This window comes from Homo sapiens, chromosome 22, assembly GCF_000001405.40.
Source record: "Homo sapiens chromosome 22, GRCh38.p14 Primary Assembly".
NCBI classification, from domain to species: domain Eukaryota; kingdom Metazoa; phylum Chordata; class Mammalia; order Primates; family Hominidae; genus Homo; species Homo sapiens.
Window position 1 is genome coordinate 28,142,631 of NC_000022.11, and position 15,389 is coordinate 28,158,019.

Genomic DNA, 15,389 nt, shown 5'->3' on the forward strand with positions numbered 1-15,389 from the left:
GAGCTGAGGAAACAAACTGCTGTAATAAAACTCCTGTTACTGGAGCCATAAAAACAGAACAAAGGAAAGGCAAAGAAGAAAAATAGTGGTTGGACTTTTCTGACATGCCTTGTCCACCATTGTTACTGGTTTCAAAAATGATAATGTAACAATCGGAAAACCATCAGGCAAGCCAAAAATGATACAATAGGCATACTGTCATTCATAAACATCACCACCACCATGAGAGTCCCCAGAATAAAATTAGCTTTTTGAAGAATGCCTGAATGTTGACATAAATTAAAGTGCCTAAATGTACATACAACCAAGCCATCTGTACATTTTTCATGACTCTCCAGGGGTGTGAAATGTCCTTCAACAACAGCACTTGGATAGTGGTCGCATTTTCTGTTGGGACATATCATAAATGTCAGAGGGAGAAAGAGATCTGTGTCACATGTGAACTGAAGCAGGTCCCTTTCCCTCTCTGTGGAAACTGACTTAATGGCAGAGCTGGGACTAAAACCCACATCTCTTGACTCCCAAGATAAGAATGACTTTTATTTTGCAGTATGATGCCTAGAGCATGGTAGGGGCTCAAAAATTACTTTGTGAACGGAAGAATGACAGAATGAATGGATAGGTGAGTAAATGAATAAATGGACAAATGAATAAAGAAGTAACAGAACCATTCCCTGTGGTTTGATGCTTACAGTCAGAAAAGGTCAAAAAGGGACATATCATTGAAACACTTTAGAAATAAAATAGAGAACTGAAAAGCCAGATGGTCCATGCTTAGCAAACATTCCAAAAAGCCACTGCTAACTCCAAGAACTCTTTCTTTTCAATTATAACATTGTGTTGGAGAGCACTGGTGTATCTATCTCAAGAGAAATAATGAATGTGAGAATAAAAATGGGTGAACATGTTTCTTAAATAAGACTGCTATAATTTAACACCCATTTAGTATGACTCCCTTTTTCAAGATTTAATGTAAATGAGGGAGAACAGAGAGCGTGAGGGAGGGGCCAAGGACAAAGATGGACTAAAAGTCAGGCATGCACTTTATGAGCACAGCACTGCTTGTGCAATTATTACAAACATATTTAGAAGAAAACAAAATGCTTTTCAAGATCACACAGAAGGTCTAAAATGTTAAAACAGGGAAAAAGGGCTCAGCAAAAGTTAAAACCATATAAGGGAAGAAAGTTATTTTTTCACCAGCAAAGGAAAAAACTTTTCTTCCAGCGAATCTTACAGCACAAAAGACACTGGCCTCAATCACCTGTTTAAGTCAGGAATCTTCAAATTTTTTTACGAAGAGAAACTATTTAAAATTTTCCCAGAGCCTCGACATTATTCAGAGAAGGAGGGAAAGAGAGTAGAGAAAAAGAAGGAAAAGAGCCTAGTGGTGCCAGTGGTACCTCCAAGGCAGAAGGAAGTTTCAGTCCAATACCAGCCACTATTTCCTGAGCCTGTACTGTGCCAGGCACCATGCAAAATGCTTCACATACATCAACTCATTTAATCCTCACAAGAGCCACACCCTTCATTGCTATCCTAGAGATTCTAGTCTTAATTCTATTTTACATCTTACATAACTTTCCCCAGGCCACACAGCTCATAAATGGCAGAGCTACAATTCAAACCAGGGCCTGTCTAATACCAAGGCTCAGGTTTTTCTGTCTCCTGGCTGCCACAGACTCCTTCTGAGAGAATCTCAGGAAGCCAACCATGGCTTTACCAGGCTTAATAGTGGAAGATGGTTTGGAAAGCTATCAGGTATACCTTCAAGTTCTTTCAAAACTATAATTGGAGATATGAGTTTCAGAAATCTGGGTTTACCATTACAAAACAACTGGCAGTTTTCTTTCTTTGGTAAAAATGTTCTGGAAAGCCAAAATTGCTGTGCTATGGTCATTCCTTAGCCAAGTCTGCATTTTAACATCCAACTAATTGAGATGAGTGGAGACATCTGTAAGCTTATTTTAAAAAAGACAAATCTCTCGATGTGTAATAACAGCAGTACCATTTACTGAGGGCTTGCTATGTGCTAAGCACTACTTGTCAATTTACGTGGCATCAAAGATTAACAAGCTGAGAGCTAAGCACTAGGAATACAAATGCATCAAATGGGGAGCCCGTAGCATAGCCTCTTTGGAGGCTTACAACCTTAATGGGGAGACAGACAAGCAAGCTGACTGCTGCAGGGGAATATGCGAAGGGTGCGCCTCACCATCTGGGCACAAAGCACTGCAAGGTGCAGAAAAGCACTGGTTTGTATTTGAAAAAGCTTCTTAAAGGAAGGGGTGTTTCCTCACAACAATCCTATGAAGTTGGGAGGAACCTGATGGTCAGAAAGGTTAAGTAATGCAAAGGTACACAGCTATGAAATAAGTTGAGCCCAAGGTCACCTCACTTTGAAGCCACACTTTCCATCAGTTCCTGTGGCATCACAGAAAAATAATCTCCTTAAATCTCTTGCCACATGATTACTTTTACCTTACAGGGGAAAAAACAAAACAAATACCGACACTAACTTCTAGGTACTCCTTAGAGTCATATTAATACGGCTCTAGTCATTAAAGCGTTTTCACATTCACACTTTCATTTGAGTCTAATGATCTTGTGAGAAGCAAATATATTATTATTGTTCCCCTTTTTTACACATCACAAAACTGAGGCCCAGGAAAGTAATATAACTTGTTCAGGGTCATGCAAAAGGTAAGAGCTCACGTTAGGCTGCTTGAATGTCTAACTCCTAGGTCAGCCGTCTTGGCACCACAAAACATTAGATACACCACCTACTTGAGTCTCTCCTTGTTGGTACCTACAATTGATTGCCTTACTCCGAGATCAATGAACGGTGGGGGCAGAGTTAGAATCTGGGGCGGGTTTCTCCTGGTCAGCGTTTTGATTTGGATTATTTTATGGATCTCTTTCATTTGAAATGTCTTGTCAGAAAAAATGTCAGCCAGTCATAATGGAGAGTTTGTCAGCAAGAGATGAAGACATCAAATAACAACATGTACTTCTAGCCCCTGATAACCACCTGCAACTTTCAAGGGATCAGAGTATTGTGAAGGATAAGAAATGTTATGTATTTCAGTAGCATTTTCACCTTTCTTTTAGCACTTGGTTTTGTGTGAACAAATGATACACTCTTTCGACATATGATACAAACTACAATGATAATAATGATTACAACAGTTTTGAGTGTTTATTATGTGTCATTGTTCTAAGGGCTTTATACATACTAACTCATTCAATCCTCACAGCCACCTCATGAGATGGGTGCTATAATTGTCCCTATTTGGGGAGGATGAAGAAACTGAGGCAGAAATCAGCTAAGCATCTTGTCCAGGCTCAGGAAGCCAGAAAGCGGCATAGTTAGGATCTAAAGCCAGGCCATCTGATTGAAAGCTCATGTTCCTCACAGAATGCTACATGTAGGGGGATTCTATATCCCAGTGGTGTGTGGGGCTGTCCCAGTGATAAATGATAAGGTCACTCTAGCTATAACAACACTGTAAAAGCCCCTAACTTGGCTTGTAGGCAAAATATTTGTATACAGGCTTCTTGGTAATCAAAATGGAGAGAAATCAGCACTGAAATCCAGTAGTTTCTCTGCTACAAGAAGAAGGGAAAAGAACAGTCCAATAGGATGTTTACGCAGAATACCAGAGCCACAGGGGAGAACGATCATGAAAACGCTTAGTAAAGGATTTAGCACATAGGTGCTTCTTATTCCCTCTGTCCCATGCACAGTTGTGTGAGTTCTTCACTGACGAACTGACACAAAGAGGATGTCTTTCTCCATCAGGCATTTAAGAAGTACCAGGAGTTGTCAAGGCAGACATGCCAGCTCGCCGGATGGTGCCACAAACTGGAGAATGCCATCTGTTTTGTCAAGGTTGACAGTCTGAAATTTCTGGTTAAACTCCAGATCTCCTTGTTGTGAAGGGCTTGATAACTTTTAGTCCATTACCTTCTGTTTACTGAGTCACAGAGCATATCATATCTCCCTCTAGAGCACTCCAACAGCTGGGCCATGTTATAAGCTGTCTTTGTCTTATTCGGGATTAGATAATGGATTGGTGGAACCTTCCATTTGAATCAGGGAAACAATTACAGAATAACTGTTGTTTCAAATAAGTGGCCAGCTCTGACAATCTGGCTCAAGAACACAAATCCATTACTTTTTTTTTTTTTCTTGCCACTGGGCTGTTCTGATGAGGGCTTGCTTTACAAGCATGTTGGGCACATAACAACAAAGCATTTACTTCACTTTTTAATTGCTCTTGGAAACATTTTAAATGGCACCAATGCAATTTTTACCAGAAAATGAAAGCATTCACTCCCAGAGTAACTTAACTCTTCAGTAGGATGGCATAAAGGACCACTTTCAGAAATCTGTTGAAAACTGAGAGCCTGTATTCAGGAGCTAACAAAGCTATTTGAAAGTCAAGTTGAGAACAGGCTTAGTCAGCAATATGAACCAAAAGTTGCATTCCAGCTTTCATCTAATTCAACAAATGTATTTTCTGCTGTGTCAGAGACAGCCTTAAGAAGAATTTCGGTCGGGAACAACATGCAGAAACTGGTTCTCAGTAAAAAAGCTACTTTTTGAAGTTACCATGAAATTACTAATTATGCTGAAGAGTCTTAAACACTTGTGTCTCTTGTGGATTTCATGCTGGAAAAGAGGGGAGACTTCAGGTGGCAGTGTATGAGCAGCCACGTTTCCACCTTGCATTAGGTCTGTATGTGTGCTTAAGTACAGCCGTTATGAAATAGGGATGAGTGAACGAGGATGAAAATAAGCTGTGGGTAAAGAGAAATGCTCAATTTCCAGTTACAATGTCACATTGTCCTACTCACTTAGAAATGCTACAGCTTTATCTCTTTTCTCCATAATTTTAGACATTTTCTTTTGAGAGGTGGTGTAACATAAAAGAGCACTGACTTTTGATTCTGACAGCTCTAGGCCCACACCCCAGCTCTGCCACACACTTACTATGAGATCTTTGACAAGTTAACCTCTCTGTTCTTTGGGTTTTTGATTTCTAAACAGGAATAATAAGCCCTATCTTTCTGAATTATTAAATTAAACAATGAATCGCTGCATAAGAAGCTACACCAAGTATAGTGTTCACATACTGGAGGCATTCAATAAGTGTCATTCCTTTATCATTATTATTGTGACTTCTAAGCCACTTCAAATGTGTGCTGGAGGGATCACAAAGGCCTTTTCATATATTCTCAATGGAAGCTGTTATTTGAATATCTAGAAAAGTGGAACTGCATTAGTTTCCTAAGACTAGATGTTAAATACAGAGAATAGACTATTAAGTTCATGTACTTAAAAGAAGAAACAGTGTGATATCCTAGTGATTTTCTTGTCTAAAAGTCATAAATATTAGGGTTCTTCAAACCTGCACAAAAGACTTCATTTTAGTCATGCTTTGTAAACTTCTTGGATGAAGATCCAAAAAGGTTAATATATTATTTAGTTAGCCTGCTAATCAGACTCTCATTTAGCTATAGGGCAAAGGACCATGTAAAGGAGGGAGAAAATTCTCCTCAATTCAGTCTTCCTACTAACTGTAAGGAGTAAAATTAAAATGATATCATAAAACCTAATCACTGCCTGCTAGTTTAACTATTTCTCAAGTTCATTATATTTCTGGTTCACGTAAAAGGCTTTAAGAATGAAGTTCTAGGCCGGGTGCAGTGGCTCATGCCTGTAATCCCAGCACTTTGGGAGGCCAAGGCAGGCAGATCACGAAGTCAGGAGATCGAGACCATCCTGGCTAACATGGTGAAACCCCATCTCTACTAAAAATACAAAAAGTTAGCTAGGCGCGGTGGCGGGCACCTGTAGTCCCACCTACTCGGGAGGCTGAGGCAGGAGAATGGCATGAACCCGGGAGGTGGACCTTGCAGTGAGCCAAGATTGCGTCACTGCACTTCAGCCTGGGCGACAGAATGAGACTCTGTCTCAAAAAAAAAAAAAAAAAATCAAGTTCTAGCTTCTATATACAATTCTCTTTCCATGGAAAAAATCATAGAATTTCAGCTTTCTAGAGTATTAAAGAATTTTAGGTATTGTTTACACCAATGAGAATGTCAAGGTATAATATAAAATGTACAGAAATTGCCATTGCTCCCAGAACTAGTCTCCCTGGTCTCTGGGGTCAGAAGCAGCAGGAATGATATCTAGACTTAATGACAGTAGTAAGGCACAAATAGATGAACATAGTAAATATGAAAGATATGGGTAATTATTTGAACTTTACACTCCAGTTATAAGTCCTAGCACTTCCCATAGTTCTTAGCTCTCATCATCCTTCATCCATTCAAGACATACACAGTAATTAATGAGTCACTTAACAATGAGGAATACATACTGAGAAACGTGTTGTTAGGTGATTTCGTCATTGTACGAACATCATCGAGTGTACTGACACAAACCTAGATGACATAGCCTATTACACACCTAGGCTATATGGTGTAGCCTATTGTTCCTAGGCTACAAACCTGTACAGCATGTTGCTGTATGGAATATTGTAGGAAACTGTAACACAATAGTAGATGTTTTAGCTGGAAGTCAGATCTGGTTTGGAAAGTTGGTGCACCATGGTGAAAACCACAGGCATGAATGGGATCAGTATGTGGAGGAGATATCTGCACTTCCATGTTCACTGAAGCATTATTCACAATAACCAAGATACAGAATCAACCTAAGTGTCCATCATGGATGAGTGGATAAAAAAATGTGGTATATATACACAACGAAATACGAAACAGTTTTCAAAACAAAAAATTCTGTCACTTAAGACAATATGGATGAACCTAGGGAATGCTATGCTAAATGAAATTAGCCGGGCACAGAAAGACAAATACTATGTGATATATGTGAAATCTAAAAACTTGTTAAACTTGTTAAAAACTTAAGACATGAACACATACATTAGCCTAGGCCAATGCAGGGTCAGAATCATCAATATCATTGCTTCCACCTCCACATTTTGTCCCACCAGATGGTCTTCAGGGGCTATAACACACATGGAGCTATCATCTCCTATGATAACAATAGAAGCAGACAATAGAATGGTGGTTACTAGAGGCTGGGAGGTGGGGGATGCAGAGAAGGGAGATGTTCATCAAAGGGTGCAAATTTCCAGTTAGACAAGAGGAATAAATTTTAGTGATCTGTTGCACAGCATGGTGACTGTAGTTAATAATGTATATTTCAAAATTGCTAAAAGGGTAGATTTTAAATGTTCTCACCAGCAAAAAAATGGTAAGTAGGTGAGCTGATGAATATGTTAATTAGCTTGATTTAATCTTTCTGCAAGGTATACATATATCAAATATCACATTGTATCCCATAAATATATATACTTTGTCAATTAAAAGTTAAAAAGGAAAAAGAAAAAAGAAAGGCATATGATTACAATCCTACTCTGCCCCAGAGTGCAATGTGTTTTTAAAATTAAGCCTTTAAATAGAGTATAAAATATTGTCAGGAAGGTATAAAATCATAAGCATAGAGCTCAACAAATTTTCATAAAGTTGAGGACAGCTATGTAACCCTACCACTCAGATCAAGAAGCAGAACATTACCAGAGCCTATGAAACATACTTCTTTTTATCATCAAAGACATTTACTGCCACAATCATGTTGGTGGCTTAGAAACTTGGAATCTTCATCTCTAAATATTATCTTCAAATAGAATTCTCCATGAAGGAGAACAACGGAGGTGATCTGAATAATCGTTTGTTAAATCACCTCCAAATGTCTACCTAAAAGATCTGATTCTGATGCTCTATATTTTCTGCTGTTATTTTGATTTTCTCAAAAAAAATCATTCAAAAGCAAATTCCTCTAAAGTCACCCCAAAACAGATGGATTCCTTAAGGAATGAACATAAGACTAAAAGCAGAGCCAAATGATTCCAGAAGAAAGACCCCAAAGCTCAGTGCAGTCACATGGCATAGGTCCAGGGTGCAGTGTCCAGCACAGATGGCAGAACCCAGGGTCACATCTGCACTCACCATTGCTGGCAAAGCAAAGGGCTACACAGGAGCTGTTGCAGATGGAAAGATTTAGGGACAGGCAGGTGTGGGAGGTGCCAGTGCCAGGTGTGGGTTCAGGAGCCAATGACTAACCCATTGCAAGGCTCCCAGGTTCACTGCATAGTACCAGGCAGCACTGCTCACAAAACATGGCCAAAGAACAGCCGAAGGTAGGGTGAGCACCAAAGTGGCAGTACCCCCAGGAAGTAGTGCCCACCTAGGTCTAGGAAAACAAAATTGTGTTCAGAAATAAATATTCTCCAAAGTGATCACTCAAATATTCCTTTCTGAAGTCCTAACAGAAGTGTTATCAATGCTCAGAACTGGGCTGCCTAACGGGAAAAGTCCCCATGGGGGGTTTTTGACTCATAAACCTATTCAGCCTCATATGTTCATAATCATTTGTGTAAAGAAGAAAAAACCTCCAAGCACTAATTAGAAAGATAGAGCTGTTGTGTTTTCCTCCTGATCACCTTATCTTCTTTATTCAGTTCTTGAAGACTCAGCTATTAAAAGAAATTAAGTAATTCATCAAGCCCATTTCAATTACCTGCTGCTGATAACATCAGATTACAATTAGCATCTACAAATGAACCAAGTGCCAACTGCCAAGCTGAAAAACATAAGCTAATTTACTGCCAGACTCTGCCTGCTGGAGACACAACTATGGGACCTGGCAGCGAGCAGCTACTTCATTATTCCAGCAACAGTTTTGCAGCCTCTCTTGCAACAGTCCAAAGTGCAGCTCTGACCAAAATTTACTGCCCCGTCTTCCTCTGCTCACATGTTTACAGATGCACAGTATCTGTAAGCAAATCACAGCTCCTTTTAAATAGCAATGTCTAGACAAGCTGGGTGACAAATCTTGACCTAAAGGAGAGAATAAATATTATTAATATGTATTAGGCACCGATAGGTGTGGGGCACAGCACAGGATGCGCATGTCATAACCTTAATGAGGGTGTGAATCATTTTCTGCAAGGCCTCTGGTGCTTGGTCAGAAAAATCTCCTGCTTTGGTTGATGCTCTCCATTTCTCTTTTCTCCTTTTACATGGGGATAGGACATTCTTGTTCCTTTCTTTTAGATGTCTAGAAAAATCTGTTTCAGGGCCTGTGATATCTCAATTTTTTACATTTATATTTTCCCTTTTCATGGCCCTTAATAGGAACTGCTTTAGATGAAAAGCTGAGGTGTGCAGTTTGGCTTCCTACATCAAGGGCATTATTAGACTTTGACAGTTTGTGTAGTCTTGTCTATGCCTCTCAAGTAGAAGAACTAACTGGTCAATAAATGTGTGGGGCTCAGAGGGGGCCCGCAGGCTGTAGCAAAAGACAACATGAAGATCTGAATTTGGATCCTGCCTCTGCTGCTTATAAACTGTATGAATTTGGGCCAGTACCTTTACTTTTATGCCAACCACATAGCTTTGTAATGAGAATTAAATGAAATAATGTTTGCAAAGTGCCTAGCTCAATGCAAGTAATCAATAGACAATAGCTTCTCTAGGAAAAGAGGAGAAAGGGCCGCTCCCTCCTGGTGGTGCATATACTCCTCTAGGAATGCTTGCTGTCTTCTCCCTGGGCATGAACAGGGACCACTGCTTCAGGGTGGCCCATAACTCTTCTAGTGGTGCTTCCTTTTTCATCTTCTTGTGGATGGAAGAAGGGAGAAGGAGCGTCTTTGGCCTTTAGCCCTAGCCCAGGTAATCCTAGCATGGCTCCCACTCAGATCCACAATGGGGCATGTTCTCTTGTGGAAAGATCTGTGGACTTGGAATCCAAGAACTCAAGTCTTATCCTGGCTCTCCCTCATACTCTATAATCTCAGGTGAGTCACAAATCTCTGAATCGTCATCACTAAAATAGAATAATAATGGTTTACCTCCTAGGGCTACTGCGAGAACAAATAAGTACTATAAAACACAAATATCATGGATACACTTCTATGTGAGGTCTCACAGACCTTTTGACATATTAAGAGGTTATTTAGAATATGACCCCATATATCATTCTGAGAATCTCCAAAGGAAAACATCTGGTTAGTGTACTGACTACCTATAATTAGAAACATTTTACCTATAAAGCTAGGCCTCTTTCCGTAGAAAGATTCCATAAAATATCATCAGGTTTCCATAGATTTCCATAGCAAGATAATCCAATGTATAACAATTAAAATGTAAAAAACATTAAAGAGAGTTATTGCTATATTATAGAAAAATTTTTCTCCTACAAAAGTAATTTTTTAAAAATTTTTATTTATTTAGGATACTAGGTTTCGTGTGTGTTCACAGTAATGATTTCATTCATAAACTCTATTTAGGAATAAAATATAGCTAAGGTACGATATGGATGTGTATTATATAGATAATATGTAACATTATTCCACCTGACCTTGGGAATCCAGAATTTTCTGATTCAGATTACCAGATTTTAATGTTCAAATATGATTTTATAAAAGTAATTTAAGTAATATTTCTTAAACCCTTGACTTAGAACAGCTGAGAGTCACCATTTCTGGTGACTATCATTTTGCTGCACTGTAAATAAGAGGAATAATATATAACCACCACAATTGCTACCAAACTTTTACTCCAACCCATGACTCCCAGGATGGTTTGAAAATAGGAGAAAAAGAGGCTAAGCATCATTTTATGAGATCTTAATGAGCTTTTATGCTTTGGGTATCCAGAAACTCAAAGAATTAAAAAAAAAAAAAAAAAAAAAAACCTTCGTTTTTTGTTTTTTGTTTTTTTTTTAAACTTACTTGGACCTTGATTTTTCTCATACGTAAAATCAATTAGTATTCTCAACCTCATAGGTTTTGAGAAGAATTAAATATGAAAATGAATATAAACATGTGACACTGAGTAGGTTTCAATAATCACTTGTTGAATGAAAAACCATAAGCTCTATGGGGGTAGGAGATATTAATATGTCGATTTTATTCATTAAAAGATAGCACAGTATCTACCACATAACTAATGTTCGACAAATATTTGTTGATCAAAAGAATGAATGAACAGGTGAACAAATGAACTAACACTAGTCTTGTTTCCCTTTTCTTTCCAAATAAGTTACTTTCTAGATATAAAATGTTTTTCTGACTAAAAAGAGACAGTTGTTTTTAAACTGATTGTTTTCCATAGATGAATTATTAGGTATCTGACCTCAGGCCTTGGTGGGAAGCACCTTCTACCTCTCGTATTTGACCCAATACTAGAGGCGATCAGGCCTGAAACTGATGTGTGTGGGAAGTGGCTCCTGAAATGTACTCACCTTTGTATCTATGGCAGGTGTATACTAAGTCACCTTCATCAGAGAGAGAGAGAGAGAGGAGAAACTGAGTCATGATTCTCATTGTCTCCCTACTGACTTTCCTAATTGCAGTTCATCCTAAAGTGAGATGAGAGATAATTCTGCCTGGTTTCCCAGTAAATAAGATTCATGGTTTTCAGTGTGAGAGGACTTTAACTGAGCCTTCAGTCTAGTAACCTACTCTGCAGCACATCTGAGGTTTGACTCCAAACTGCCTAAATTAGAATGAGAAAGAAGGCCACCAAAAAACCAGAGGCTATAGAATCATTGTTATGCAACTACAGTTGTTTTGAACATAAAAGAAAAGATGGCCATTTTTTTTTTTTTCTTTTCTTTTCTTTTCTTTTTCTTTTTTTTTTTTTGAGACAGAGTCTCACTCTGTCGCCCAGGCTGGAGTGCAGTGGCGCGATCTCGGCACACTGCAAGCTTTGCCTCCCAGGTTCATGCCATTCTCCTGCCTCAGCCTCTGAGTAGCTGGGACTACAGGCGCCTGCCGCCACGCCCAGCTAATTTTTTCTTTTTATATTTTTAGTAGAGACGGGGTTTCACCGTGTTAGCCAGGATGGTCTCGACCTCCTGACCTTGTGATCCGCCTGCCTCGGCCTCCCAAAGTGCTGGGATTACAGGCGTGAGCCACCACGCTCAGAAGATGGCCATTTTCTAAGCCAAAATTTATATTAACATTATTTTCACAAGGAGGACAGACATAGAAAATAGCTAGGCTACACTTTATTGTTCCTAAGAAATCTAAAGACTTTAAATCATTTTAAATTATTTTATTATAAAACAAATAAAAGGTGAATAATAAATATTAGTACATGCTGACCACCAAAGAACAAAGACTTCCTGTCATCTCTATCTTCTTTCTTTTTCTCCTTCTCTACAAGTTCTACCCACTTCACCTTTACCTGTGCACAGGAAGCTTCTATTGTCCAAAAACCTTCTTAGTGACTCAAATCTCATTTTCCTTGGCTTCTTTGATATAAATGTTACATCATCTACATCGTGGAAGTTCTCTTCTCCCTGAGCTCTCCCTGGATTCCCCCGACCCTCTGTGAGCCTGATTCAGTCTCCCTGGCTGGCTTTTCTATGTATCTCATAGATGTTATTAGGATGATGTTATCTTAACATTTGTTTCCAGTTCTATTTGCTTACATTCCATTAAGTGAAAGAAATACATACCAGGAGTATACAGAATCAAACAAATCATGTGCTTTCCCTAACTAGTTGCCCCTCTTAGCTTTTCTATTTCTTTCCAAAGGCATGACCATCTTCCAATTATTCCAATCACTGTGGCACAACATCGTGATATAAGCTTTAACTCATTCAATCTAACCATACAAATATTTTTGTGTAAGGAGTTACACTCACTGATATGGAAACCACAGAGTAGAACATAGTTCATAGTTCCAATGAACTTCAATTCAGCAGAGGTAAGTATACAAGTATACAACTACCTATAATTTATGTTCAAATATAAATAGAATAAGAAGAGAATTTTAAAAGTGTTATTAGGGCTCAGACTAAAGAAGTTATATTGTTACTAAGAGAGGCTTCAAGTAATGAATGGTATTTGGGATAATCCTAAAAAGATGGGTGACAAGACAGGAACACAGGAATTATATGTGGAGGAAAGCTTAAGGAAATGTATTGAAGCAGGAAAACATGGCCAATGTGGTGAGATTAGTGAAAATGGAACACCTCAGTTTTAGGTAAACGGTATATACAGAGAAGTAGTGGAATTTAAAAATGGAAAATCAGACATGTCTGTAATCACAACAGCCTTCATTTAGGGTGAGGACTCTACCTATAATGTGGCATACAATATGTGGCAATGAATGACTTGAGTACAGCTTTAGGAAGATCAATCTAGTACTGATGTGTGGGATGGAAGAGACATGGGAAGAAGGGAATGGAGATAAGGAAAACTCAACTAGTAGGTTGATGCAACAGACTGGGCAGCTAGGATGGTGCAATAATAAAAAAATAATCTTCATGAGAAAATGTATTTGGCAACTGTTAGGTTGGGAGTCAACTGAAAAACAAGAAAATAAATCAAATGATGACTTCAGAGTTCTAAGTCAGGATGGTATGGCAGGCTGAATAATGACATCCCCTGCAATGTGTCTATGTCCTAATCTCCAGAACCTGTGAATGTTACCTTACATGGCAAAAGGGACTTTGCAAATTAAGAATCTTGAGAAAGGGAAATTATCCTAGACCATCCAGGTGGGCCTGATGTAATCACAACAGTCTTTATTGGAGAAACGCAAGTCAGGGTCAGAAGAGAAGGTGATGTGATGACAAAAGCAGAGACTGGAGTGATGTATCCTGAAGGAGGAAGATGGCAGCTGACAGGGGCAAAGAAATATATTCTCCTCTGGACTCTGAAAAAGGAACTAGCACTGTCAATATCTTGACTTTAGCCCAGCGAAGCTGATTTTAGACTCCTGACCTCCAGAGCTGTAAGAGAATAAATTTGTGTTGTTTTAAACCACTAAGTTTATGGTAATTGGTTATACAGGAATAAGAAACTAAGGCAGATGGCAAGAGGAGTGGGGCTGTCAAGGGAATTAAGAAAGCTAGGAGTTAACCTAGAAAAAAGGATGTTCCACGTGTGGGCTCACTAACTTCAACAGATCAACATCAAAACGAGACGGAATATCTACTAGGCAGTTGGAAATGTGAAAGTGATGCTCAGGCAGGAAAGAAGTCAGAGCTGGTGAATATAGAGTTGGAAACACTGTGTACTGGAGCAGTTGTCAAAGGTTGGGGGTACAAAACCTACGGGATGCAGCAAAAGCAGTATTAAATTTATAGCTATAAGTGCCTACCTCAAAAAGGAAGAAAAACTTCAAATAAACAATCTAATGATGCATCTTAAAGGACTAGAAAGCAAGAGCAAACCAAACCCAAAATCAGTAGAGGAAAAAAATTAAGATCAGAGCAGAAATAAAATTAATTTGAAATTAAGAAAACACAAAAGATAAATGAAATAAAAGTTGGTTGTTTGAAAAGTTAAACAAAATTGACAAACCTTTAGCCATACTAAGAAAAAAAGAGAGCAGATACAAATTAATAAAATCAGAAATGAAAAATGAGACATTGCAACTGATAACTGATACTGCAGAAATCCAAAGGACCATTAGTGGCTACTATGAGCAACTATACACCAATTAAGTTGGAAAATCTAGATGAAATGGACAAATTCCTAGACACATACAACCTGCCAAGATTGAACCATGAAGAAATCCAAAACCTGAACAGACTGACAACAAGCAATGAGATTAAAGCTGTAATAAAGTTTCCCAGTAAAGAAAAGTCCAGGACCTGATGGCTTCATTGATGAATTCTAACATTTAAAGAGGAACTAATACCAATCCTACTCAAACTGTTCCAAGAAACAGAGAAGAGAATACTTCCAAATTCATTCTATGAGGCCAGTATTACCCTGATACGAAAACCAAAGACACATCAAACTACAGGCCGATATCCCTGATGAATATTTATACCAAAATCCTCAACAAAATACTAGCAAACCAAATTCAACAATATATTAGAAAGATTATTCATCATGACCTAGTGGGATTTATCATAGAGATGGCAAGGATGGTTCAATAAATACAAATCAATCAATGTGATACTTCATATCAACAGAATGAAGGCCATTTCAATTGATGCTGAAAAAGCATTTGATAAAGTTCAACATCTCTTCATAAAAACGCTCAAAAAAACGGGATATAGAAGGAATATACCTCAACATAATAAAAGCCATATACAAGAGACCCACAGCTAGTATCATACTTAAATGAGGAAAATCTGAAAGCCTTTCCTCTAGTATCTGGAACACGACAAGGATGCCCACTTTTACCACTGTTATTCAACATAGTACTGGAGGTCCTAGCTACAGCAGTCAGACAACAGAAAGAAATTTAGGACATCCAAACTAAAATGGAAGAAATCAAATCATCCTTGTTTGCAGATGACATGATATTATACTTGGAAAAATCTA

General features: G+C 38.4%; 1 protein-coding gene across 11 annotated transcripts in view; it reads right to left on the reverse strand.

The window, feature by feature from the left end:
• The window catches only part of TTC28 (tetratricopeptide repeat domain 28), a 701,827-nt gene that overhangs the window by 164,617 nt on the left and 521,821 nt on the right, over window positions 1–15,389 (reverse strand). The gene's annotated exons all lie outside the window — the stretch shown is intronic.